The sequence below is a fragment of the Homo sapiens genome, chromosome 15, assembly GCF_000001405.40.
Source record: "Homo sapiens chromosome 15, GRCh38.p14 Primary Assembly".
Lineage (NCBI taxonomy): Eukaryota > Metazoa > Chordata > Mammalia > Primates > Hominidae > Homo > Homo sapiens.
Window position 1 is genome coordinate 62,140,804 of NC_000015.10, and position 12,844 is coordinate 62,153,647.

The following is a 12,844-nucleotide window of genomic DNA, read 5'->3' on the forward strand; positions in this document are numbered from 1 at the left end:
ATGGAAGTGATTTAGTATATAGAAGTATAGTACTAAGGATGAGTTCTAGCTTCAGGTCTAAGGTGTGTATCAATCCTTCCTTGAGTCCTTTACATGGGTAGCTATTAGATATTGAACTAGAAAGTCAGCTATGACTTCACAGAGCTGACTCCTAGGGCAGAACATGAAAATAATTTTTTATTAGATTAAGAAATATGGAGAAGACAAGAGTTCCCGGGGAAAAGAGAAAGCTGCCAAAGAATTGCTAAAAAGATCACAAAAGCTTTGCTGTTGGTAGAATGACAACCTTTCCTAACTAGAGGAGTCTCAAAAATCAATACTTGCTCTAATCAAAGAAGATACCTGACTTCTAAGGGGCAAGTATCATTCCACATACATTTTTTCCCCTCTGAGCCTTGCTTTTTTTCACTTGGCAATATAGATCAAACCTTTCTATTTAAAATAAAGAACTAAAAAAGACTTTTTTTTTTTTAACAAAGAAAAATTCTGAATAATATGTTGTGGGACAAGAGGAAGATGCCAGTGAAGAAAGCAAGAAAGCCACATATGTGCATTAAAAGCCATGATCATGGCCAGGCAGAGTGGCTCACACCTGTAACCCCAGTGCTTTGGGAAGCTGTGGCAGGAAGATTGCTTGAGGCCAGGTGTGCAAGGCTGCAGTGAGCTATGATCACACCACTGCACTCTAGCCTGCGGGTCAGAGAAAGACCCTCTCTTAAAAAAAAAAAAAAAAAGTGAATGAAAAACTCCCCCATTTACTATATAGACTGTAACAATATGAAAATGCATAACATTGTACGAAGTATACAGTTGTAACTTTGAAAAGTAACTAAATATATACAAGGGCAAAATAATTACCCCCAGAGGTTCTTAGTTGAAAAGGACCCTTGTTACAAAAGACAGATTAACAAGAGAAAAATAAACCAAAGTTTATGAGCATGTATGTTTCATAAATACATAGGAGACGCCCAGGAAATGAGTAGTTCTGAAAGAGTGGCCTTCAAATTCAGCTTACGTAGCATCTTCAACAAAGAACAATAAAATTTTAGAGAAGTGATAAGATAAGACCAAGGAAAAGGACTTTGAGTCTCTACGGGCAGCAACTTGGAGGAAGGCAAATAGCTGGCAGATGTTAAAAGAAAAACTTAGACAAATTAAATTTAACAGAGTTTAATTGAGCAAAGAATGATTCGTGAATTGGCCAGCCCTCAAACCAAAACAGGTTCAGAGAGACTCTGGCCTGCCTCATGGTAGAAAAAGATTTATAGACAGAAAAAGGAAAGTGATGTACAGAAAACAGAAATGAGGTACAGAAACAGCTGAATTGGTTACTGCTTGGTGTTTGCTTTTTTTTTTTTTTTTTTTTTTAATATGGTTTGAACAGTTGGCTGCCTTTCATTGGCTGAAACTCAGTGATTGGCCTGAGTAGATTACATCCAGTTAGGTTCACACACCCAGTTAGGTTACAGTTCACTAAGTTTGGAGTTCAGCCTGTAGGCTGAACTTAAAATACATAAAGAGGCAGCATTGGGCTAAACTTAATTTAACACACTAAAGGGTACTTAGCAAACCTTGTTCTTGTAGCTTCCTCTGGTACCATCTCCAGGCAGAGAAGCGAGATGCATCTAAAGCTGTCTGCAGTGGTTAACCTTCATTCTCCTTGGCAGAAGATGGGACAGGACACATTCTTTGGAAATCTATGTCCTGCTCTTAGGCAAATAGAGAGAAGAGAGCTTTCCTGCATCTGCTTCTTAATTGTCCTCAGCTCAACAATCCTTCATATTTGGGGGCAGCCTATTCTGGTCTCCCACATAGACAAAGGTGGCAGAAAATGTGAAAAGATTTTAACAGTTGTGAACAGGTGGTAGGATTGTGGCTTCTCCTTTTGGGTCTCTAACTGTCTAAAAAGTTAGCACAGTCTTCATACTAAAATAATTTCAGTACGTTTTTCTGATAAAATGGTACAAATATAGGCATATTGTTTAATCTGCAGACCCTGAAACTTCCAATTCCAATTCCGAAGCTTTTCTACTAGATACCATATCCACTATTGCTATCTTAATTCTTTAAAATTGTACTAGAACTCCTGTTGCTTTTATTAGATCTCCCCCTGGTGTCACCTTTAAAAACTTTTGTCATTCAGGTGAACCTAGTTCTTTAGGAACTATTCTTATTTTAATTAGTAGACATCTCCTTTCACTGTTTTTAGCATTTTGACGGTTTATAAGGAAGCCCTGAAACCCCTATTCAGTCAGAAAACCCCACTTGGAAACAAGGCCACCCTGTTAATATGGCTGTGCAACTATGTCATCAGAATTCTTTTAAACATTTGTAGTTCAAAATATCCCATGAAGATACTATTATATTTACAAAACACTAAAAGAAGTGGAATTGTGATAGGATTATCAAGGGAATTTAGCAAAAACCAATAGCAACAGCAATCTTGTTTTTCTGGGTAAGCAGAAACACAGTTGGTTAAGAAATGTAGTTCTTTTGGCTTAGGATTGACGTGGCGATGCAGGCTCTTTTTTGGTTCCATATGAACTTTAAAGTAGTTTTTACCAATTCTGTGAAGAAAGTCATTGGTAGCTTGATGAAGATGGCATTGAATCTATAAATTATTTTGGGCAGTACGGCCATTTTCACGATATTGATTCTTCCTACCCATGAGCATGGAATGTTCTTCCATTTGTTTGTATCCTCTTTTATTTCCTTGAGCAGTGGTTTGTAGTTCTCCTTGAAGAGGTCCTTCACATCCCTTGTAAGTTGGATTCCTAGGTATTTTATTCTCTTTGAAGCAATTGTGAATGGGAGTTCACTCATGATTTGGCTCTCACGCTACCTGACTTCAAACTATACTACAAGGCTACAGTAACCAAAACAGCATGGTACTGGTACCAAAACAGAGATATAGATCAATGGAACAGAACAGAGCCCTCAGAAATAACGCCGCATATCTACAACTATCTGATCTTTGACAAAGCTGAGAAAAACAAGCAATGGGGAAAGGTTTCCCTATCTAATAAATGGTGCTGGGAAAACTGGCTAGCCATATGTAGAAAGCTGAAACTGGATCCCTTCCTTACACCTTATACAAAAATCAATTCAAGATGGATTAAAGACTTAAACGTTAGACCTAAAACCATAAAAACCCTAGAAGAAAACCTAGGCATTACCATTCAGGACATAGGCATGGGCAAGGACTTCATGTCTAAAACACCAAAAGCAATGGCAACAAAAGACAAAATTGACAAATGGGATCTAATTAAACTAAAGAGCTTCTGCACAGCAAAAGAAACTACCATCAGAGTGAACAGGCAACCTACAAATGGGAGAAAATTTTCGCAACCTACTCATCTGACAAAGGGCTAATATCCAGAATCTACAATGAACTCAAACAAATTTACAAGAAAAAAACAACCCCATCAAACAGTGGGCGAAGGACATGAACAGACACTTCTCAAAAGAAGACATTTACGCAGCCAAAAAACACATGAAAAAATGCTCATCATCACTGGCCATCAGAGAAATGCAAATCAAAACCACAATGAGATACCATCTCACACCAGTTAGAATGGCGATCATTAAAAAGTCAGGAAACAACAGGTGCTGGAGAGGATGTGGAGAAATAGGAACACTTTTACACTGTTGGTGGGACTGTAAACTAGTTCAACCATTGTGGAAGTCAGTGTGGCGATTCCTCAGGGATCTAGAACTGGAAATACCATTTGACCCAGCCATCCCATTACTGGGTATATACCCAAAGGACTATAAATCATGCTGCTATAAAGACACATGCACACGTATGTTTATCGCGGCATTATTCACAATAGCAAAGACTTGGAACCAACCCAAATGTCCAACAATGATAGACTGGATTAAGAAAATGTGGCACATATACACCATGGAATACTATGCAGCCATAAAAAATGATGAGTTCATGTCCTTTGTAGGGACATGGGTGAAATTGGAAATCATCATTCTCAGTAAACTATCGCAAGAACAAAAAACCAGACACCGCATATTCTCACTCATAGGTGGGAATTGAACAATGAGATCACATGGACACAGGAAGGGGAATATCACACTCTGGGGACTGTTGTGGGGTGGGGGGAGGGGGGAGGGATAGCACTGGGAGATACACCTAATGCTAGATGACGAGTTAGTGGGTGCAGCGCATCAGCATGGCACATGTATACATATGTAACTAACCTGCACAATGTGCACATGTACCCTAAAACTTAAAGTATAATAATTAAAAAAAAAAGAAAAAAAAAAAAAAAAAAAAGAAATGTAGTTCAAGTAGCCTGTTATCAAGACCCGGTAAGCCTTTTCTGTCTATTTAATATCCAGTCTTACATCAGTATTTACTCTTAGTATCAACAGTAAGTGGAAATGTAAATATCTTACCGGGAGACTAGGTCCTGCTCACAGTCTAGCAGACGTTTTATTTATTTATTTTTATTTATTTATTTTTTGGAGCCGGAGTCTCACTCTGTAGCCCAGGCTGAAGTGCACTGGTGCAATCCTGGCTCACTGCAATCCCTGCCTCCCGGGTTCAAGCGATTCCCTTGTCTCAGCTTCCCAAGTAACTGGGATTACAAGCTCCTGCCACCATGCCCGACTAATTTTTGTATTTTTCGGAGGGACAGGGTTTCACCATGTTGCCCAGGCTTGTCTTGTACTCCTGATCTCAGGTGATCCACCCACCTCGGCCTCCCGAAGTGCTGGGATTACAGGTGTGAGTCACCATGCCTGGCCTAACAGACATTTTATTGATGTCTTCCTTTAGCTTTCTCAACTTGGCTTCAGAGTCCCCTATTATTTGAAGCAAAAGAGAAAAAAAATGTGAAATAAATTTAAGACATCAGTGTTTTTTGCACATTCTCAGTGCATAACAACCCCTCCTGCAGCTAAAGAAATAAAGAATTATGACTCATTCTCTCAAGTGGTTTTGGCTCTTAAGCTTCTAAAAAATATATCTTTAAATACATTATTTCATCCAATCTCACAAGCACATTTAGGGCATTGTTATTGTCCTGTTTTACAGATAAGTATACTGAGGCTCAGAGAGTTAAGTGTCTTTCCAGTGTAGAGCCCAGGGGCCCCTCAAATCCTAGCTAGGACTCTTTCCATGTTGCCACACTAGGCATAGACAGGTGTCATCACTATAATAACATGGAGGCTACAAAGAGTAAAGAGCTATGCAGGTGTGAATCTCAGCTGTTCCTTCAGATTCTCCACTGGAACTTTCATATAGGCTCTTTCTACCTTCCAAGGACATAACTACTTCAAAAGTGAACTGTGATCTTCTCAGAGCTTTGGTGTCTCTCAGGACTTTATGCCTTTGAATTGAGCCAACCGACCTGGCCAATTCCACCCTCCTTCCCTACCCTCACCCTGATTTTGTTCTGGCCTCAGGCTCCCCTTAGGATCTACATCCCTTCTCTGATTCCCTCTGCCTCTAGTACTTGGATGCCCATCAGCTCTTCTTGACATCCTCCTGCTGCTCAGGACCTCCTGCCTGTGACCTCCACAGAGCTTCAGAGTGGAGGCCAGCACCACGTCCTTTGGCCTTCCCAGGCACAAATGAAGAATCTCTACTTCTCTCCCATTATCTCTGAATCATGCCAAGCCAAAGTCCAGCCCTCCCCAACAGTGACAACCAGGGACAACCAAGAAGGAGATCCAGGCCTTGTCCTATGCATCCTGAGTCCTGGTGGGACTCAGGAGTTCAAGAGGCGGATTCAGGTGAAGACAGGGGTTCCTTGAGCATAAGGTTTCTGGGAACAGAGGACATGGAGTATTTGGTGAGCAAAACCTAAAGTGTGCATATGCATGACTATAAATGTTGGTGGCCTGAGAAGTGGTGCAAAGCCCAGAGTCCAGCTCTACCTTTAGATCCATCTTCCAGAGACATCCAAACCCATGGGAGTCTGTGGCAGGGAAGAGCAAGAGCATCTCTACAGTGCTCCTCATGCTTCCTGACTGGACCATGACCCCTGATCCCATACACCTTCCCTTCCCAGTGAGACCCCCTAGATCATGCTTCCAGCTCCATGATTCTTCTCTTGTCATTTTCCTTGCTGGAAAATGCATGGGAAATGCATTTAAATTCTAATGCATCATGACATACAAAAACAGGATCATATTTCACAACAAAACCTGAACTTATTTTGATTCTCACATGCAGGGAACCAGGACAATAACTTTTTTTCATATAGCAAACTACCTAAAAAGTGATTTTTTATCTTTTTTGGAAAACTGATGGAACCAAGACCCATCAATCCATAGCATATATTTATTGAGCATCAACAAAAGGTCAGGTGGTATGCTTCATGGGAAGAAGCGTGCAACATTGGCCTGCCTTTCAGTCTAGTTGTAGTAATAGGATACAGAGGCATGTGGGACCCTTATCACACTGTTACTTTGCAATTCAAGGCAGCAGACACTTCTATGGACCCGCCAACCCAGGCTGCTTCTGTTCAAGGCATCCAGAATCTGCCCCAGCAGTGTTGCCCTTGCTCCCAGTTCTCAGGCCCCATCTTGATCTGATGCAAAAGTATGTAACAAATCAGCCATATATGGTGAGGCTCAGCATCTAGTCTGCTTAGCAGTGAGGTTAGTCCAAGGTCTGATAACTGGGTTTCTACTAATGGCTCAGGCCTTGTTCCTTGCATATTGTCCATCCCACTCTGAGGTCTAGAAGTTTTCCCCAACCCCAGTCTTTTATTCATACCACGTACATGTCCTCCTGAACTTCTGAGTGTCCCTCAACCCAGATCGCAAGTTGACAGTCTCTGCCTACACCAGCACGATCCATCTTATGGTGCTTGTGGAAAACCAAGGACAATCAAAACGATAAGGTACAACATCCATTGAGAGCCAAGGGTCTCCTAGTGTCACGTGAGCATCATGAACCTGCCTGAAGTATCACCTGCAGCAGCTGCAAGTCACTGCCCTCAAAGTTGTAACACCCTACTGAGAACAAAGCCAGATGCTGGCTAGGTTTTCACCTCAGCTACCTGCTTCTCTAGAAACTGCCAACTCGGACCAAAGTTCAACCTGGTCATGATTCTGACAAGCAGCTACATTTCTGATAAATAATTAGTTATTAAATTAACTGTGACCTTCATAGCTGCCAGAGAAAACCAATTTACAAAGATTTTTAGAGAGCAGATGTTTTAAGATTTTGTTTTGTTACTCATGTTATTTTCGAAATCATATGATTTTAAGCACTTGATTTTAGATATCATAAAACCTTTCTGTCTGGTGAGATTCCTGGGTAAAGTTGTGTGTGTGTGTGTGTGTGTGTGTGTGTGTGTGTATGTGTGTGGAGGGTGGTCTAAGATAAACTCAGTAATTCCATATTTAAATATAGTGAATTCAGAATTTAAACTCAGTGAATTCAAGAGTTTCCACCTCTATCTACTTTCACTCTTCTTTCCAATGAGGAGGTACTGGACCAAGATCCATTGCCTGGGGTGACTGGCTCTGCTGAGCAGTGGCTTAGTGGCCTTCATCTGGTCCCTGTGCCTATGAACTGGCCTCACTGTTGATGCTCATATCCTGCCATGGCCTCTGGTCACTGGGCCCCCATCTGCTTCTTCTTGGTTCTGATGCCAAGCTTTTCTGGATGGGCCAGCGCATTCTCAGTCCCCTCTGAGCCACTCTCAGGGTGCCATGGAGGAATTCTCAGGCAATTTCTCATGCCTCTTGGAGCACGTTACACATAGTGTGCCTCCCCCAAGTCCACAGGCTGGCACTCCTCCATCAGCCATTGTGATCTTTCCATGCAGGCCCCGAGAGGGGGCATTCATCTATTCACACTTTTTTAAATTACCAATGTAGTCAGAAATCCAGAAAGAAAGGATATACAGATAACATAGATATAAACAGAGGTCTACTTGCCTCCTTAAACAATTTACTGGAAATAATATGATTATACATGTTTTACTCTGGAAATATTTATTGAGTCCTACTATGTGCCAAGTACTGTTCCAGAGAATGGGGATACAGTAAAAAGCAAGACAAGACAAGAATCCTGAGCTCACGAGAATTAGATTCCAATGCATTAAGACACACAGAAAACAGGATCTCATTTCACAATGAAAACTAAGCTTATTTTGATTCTCACTCCAACAACCCATGAAATATTAAATTTCCCCCAAAAGAGGAAAGGCTTGCAAGCTGTGTAAGTTCTAAGCCAATTCTCATGATGTAAGAGTTACACATTCCCAGGACTGTGCTGTGGGTTGCTTTCAGAGTTTTGAAAAGTGCAGAAATGACCTCTTTTAAGACAATATGAATAGTTATCCATTATTTGATTTTAGATATCATAAAAGCTTTCTGTCTGGTGGGATTCCTGGGTGTGTATATGTGTTTTGGGTCTAAGGTAACTTGGTAATTCCATATTGAAACATAGTGAATTCAGAATTTAAACTCATTTCAAGAATTTCCACCTCTATCTACTTTCACTCCTCTTTCCAATGAAGAGGTGCCTGGACCAAGAGCCATTACCAGGCACCAGGCCAGGGTCTTTGCATATATTATCTCTAATTCCTAGTGCAACTCTAAGTAAGGTGAGTTTCATTATTATCAGCCCTACTTTGCAAATGGGAAAACAGAGGCTGATTGAATTTAAGTAAGTTGCTTGAAGTCACCCTGGTATGAAGTGGATGAGCCTTAATGGAACATAGATGGCCTGATTTCACTCTGCCTTCCCACAATTAGTAGGCAAATCCATTAAAAATTTTAAGTAGAAATTTTTCGAGTGTTCCTTTAAACAAAAACTTTGCCCTTTATATTTAAGAGTATATATGTGTGAGCTGGAGGAATGAGGCTTGGGGAGGAGAGGATGAAATAGACAAAGTTAGTGAACACTAAAGTTTGTGAAAACACTCACAATTGAGGATCAGTGAAAATGATAAAGCATGTCAGAAAGCATAATGTTAGGAAGACGTAAAAACAGAATCCATTTTGCAAATGTTTGGTTCCAGCTAAGCCTCTGGGAACAGATCTTGAGGAGGCAGGGAGGAGACAGGAAGGCAGGCCCAGGGCAACTGTGCTGTGGACACTCATCCAACACCATCCTTAACCCATCCCTCCTCCTCACTGTGTGCCTTCTTCTCTTGTTCCCCATGGCCCAACACTGAACGTGTCTTCCACAGTCCCCATTTAGCCAGCCTTCCTACAGGACTGCAACCTCTTTTCTTGGATCCTCAATCTTGGTCCCGGACCCAATCTCCTAGGAACATGCACGTTACCCCCGGACCATTCCATCTGTCCAGGTTTCACCACGTATGCATTAGGCCCACACCTCTGGGTTTATCTCAACGAAAATCATATTATCCACCTGAGCCATCTTCCCTCATGGAGCGCTCAAAGTGTGCAAAAGGAAAGCTGCCTGCAAGCCAGACTTCATCGGGGAGGGTCCCAGGGAACCAAGAGAGAGAAAGCAGTTGGTAAGAACAGCAGGGTCTGCCCCGCCCATAAGGGGGCCCTTGAAAGCTAGATCTAATCAGAGCTTCATCTTTGCATCTGCCTCTGTTGGGCATCTCTCACTTTGTCCTGCTTTGTAGACATGTCTTTCTCTTTCATAAGATTATAAGTTCCTTGAAGTACTTACTTACACAGTAAGTGCTCCCTAAACCTTCTTTAATACTCCATTAATATTCTCTCCTCTTGAGAAGAGGAGGCACTCCAGAGTGGCCTATTGTACAAGGAAAATGCAGTCTGGATAAACAGCAGCAGAATATCAGTAAACCTCCCTCCTCTCCTCCAACCAGCCTCACCTGATCCTTTCCCTTTCTGGATTTCTGTTCATTGGAACAAAAGTGATATCATGACCATGACCACATTATGGTGAATGGAAACACAAAGAACAGAACTGATTAGGCTGTTTGGAGTTTCCTGTCACATGATCTATATGGAAACAAAGCCACATCAGATGTTCCATTCACAGCTCTTAAATTTTCCTATGCTTTTATCTCAAGTTATTTGTCTTACAAATTATTTTTATTTGTTCCCTTTCTAAGGGAAAATGTACTTACTATTTTATTTTTTAACAGCATCCTTATAATATCCATCTTTGGAAAAAAATTCTGGAATATGGGCAGATATATTTGATTCCTGGTATAGTTACAGCACTAATACCTCATAGTAAACTGCATTAGGACATTTTCTCTAAGCCTTGATTTATGCAGAATTTACATTTTCAGGCTAATGCCTGGAAAAAAATTGTGAGATGAGTGAAGTTTGTTCTTAATATCCTTCCTACTCTACCACCCCACTGTTCCTCAAACCCCCACCTCCACCCATTTCTGCCTGCAGCAGGTACCTCAGCTCTCATGCCCGGAGTCTTCTACAGGGGAGAAAAAGTGTTAAGAGCTTGATCTCTGCGGCCAGCCTGCCTGGGTTCAAATCCAAGTTCTAACCTCTCACTAATTGTTGAATGGTCTCAGCAACACTAGACCTTTCTGTCGCTTACTTTATTCATCTGCAAAGCAGGAATAGTAATAGGCTACCTCAAGGATCAAATGTCTTAATAGATGTAAAGCACTTAGAACCATGCCTTGCACTTAGAATGCACTGATTAATAATGTTACACTCTTATCCTTCCTGTTCTCATCCCTGATTCCTATGATACTGTTTGACAGCTGCACTGACACACTGTGGCATGGACCTCTTCTGACAGCCAGCCCCTCCTCTTTTCACTTGCCTGTCCACTTGCACCAACCACCCCTTTGCCAATGACCTTGACTCCCTTGCCCCTTGCCTATCTTTGCTCCAATGCAGCTGTGGATATGGGCTGCACCCGCCAGCTGCAACTTGACCTCCCCTGCCCTGCTTACTGGGAAGCCTGCAGCCTATCCCAAAAGGTGCCTACCGCAGAAAGCCTTCAGCCCCAAGTAGTTTTGATGGGCCTCAGTATAGGCTTCCCACCTGGCAGAGAGAGTAACATAAGTTGTAAGCCTGATCCTGCAAAGCCAAGAGTGGTTCTGCTCTGGAGCCAAGAGACACCCTAGCACTGTCCTTTTTCTCTCTTTCAGAGGACCTCAATTCCAGAGGCAAATCTTCGGCCTTTGTCACATGGGACAGAGTCCAAAGCCTCCTTGCTGAGATTCTGGGGAGAAACTAGCTCATACCAGTGTATGAGTTCCTCCATTACAAATTCTTCTCCCCTTGCTTTGAGGAGGGGCACAGCCCAGGACATCTCAAAGGGCTGAAGTTTCCTTATCTGTTAATCACGCCCTTCCATAGAGTAGAATCTGCCCCTCACCTGGCTCCTAGGGTCCCTGCAGCAACAACCTCTCCATTCCCAGCATTGCTCCACAAACTTCCCCCAGCACCCAGCGGCCCAAGGTTCTGATGCAAAGGACCTGGGCCTCGCACAGAGGCCCTCTCCCTCACATTCTGTTCTCCCAGAGATAGGAACATTCACATAAATGAGACTTGCAGTCCCTGGCACAAGCCATCACTCCAAGGCCAGGGCATTGAGAGGATGTGCAGAATTAGCCTCAGGACCTCATAGCAGGTCAAGATCAGGCAAGGTGAACTCAGAATTATCTGAGCCAGAGAATGGGGTCAACACTGCGATGGGGTCAGGAGCCAGGACATAGTCCCCCTCAGGCAAAGTCAGCCAGAAGACCCTGGTTTCTAGACATCTGGCTAAGAATGGGGCCCCACTCAGATTCTGAATTCTTCAGATGTCCCTTCAGGTATCATGGAAACAACTTGACTGAGTGCTTGATATATGTTGAAAGGTTTGGAATAGGCCAGTATTTTATATAATAATTTGTATGATTCTTAGAAAAACTCCCCAAAACACATGATATTACATCCCTATTCCAAAATGAGGAAACAGAGGCACAGAGAAAAAAAGTAAACCCTTGAAGGTCACATGGCTCATAAGTAAAGAAAAAACAGTTGGATTCCAAAATCCATGCTCTCAACCACTACCTTGCACAACCTGGGTTGCAGGAGCAGCTCTGCAATTGCTTAGCTTGAAAATCTAGGCTTATTTCTGAGTTTCGGTTTTCTCTTTGTACTTCCCTCCCAGGTAGAAGATTATGAGAAATAAATAAATAAATTGGTGCATAAACTCCTTACCATGATACCTTAATAGCAAACATGCAATAAATGTTATCAACCCCAACAACATCATATAATTACTATTACTTGTGCCAAATACCCACAGATGGATTCTTGTCAGAGTTTGCCTGCCTCACCCTTTCCTCTGCCTGTTTCCCTGCACTAGTGTAGACCCCTGACAGCTCCCAGTTACTCCCAGGCTGCCTCCACCCCAGTTTCTAGTCTTTATTAAAGACAGACCTCTTTTGATCTGTAAAATAATCCTATGATGTAAATAGAGCTAAGATTTAGCAAGATTAAGCGCCTTGCCCAAGGATAATTGTTTCTGATTCTAAAACAATCTCTATAAAATCAAGTACAGTGTTTTAATTATTTTTTCAATTGGAAACTCAGCTTTGAAAAAAAATTATGAATAAAGAAAAGCTTTGCCGTGGGTCCCACCATCCTACCACAGTAGTCATACTCATGTTTCTGTATTACTCACCAGGCTTTGCCCACGTCTGAAGAGGCTGACTTCTCTTCTGCAGATTCACTGCCTGCAGAAGACAGCTGATAGCACAGCTCACTCGAGTGAGGACTGGCCCCAAAATCCCACCGAGAGATTCTAGAGTGATGATGAGAGAGATCCAGAATGACTCTAATTTAACCTGAGCAGAAAAATATAACTAAACTAGAATAGATAGTAAGTCAAAACAAGCATCCCTTTAGAAGCAAATCAGAGTCTCTTTGTGCCATTATTTCCTCCTAAATT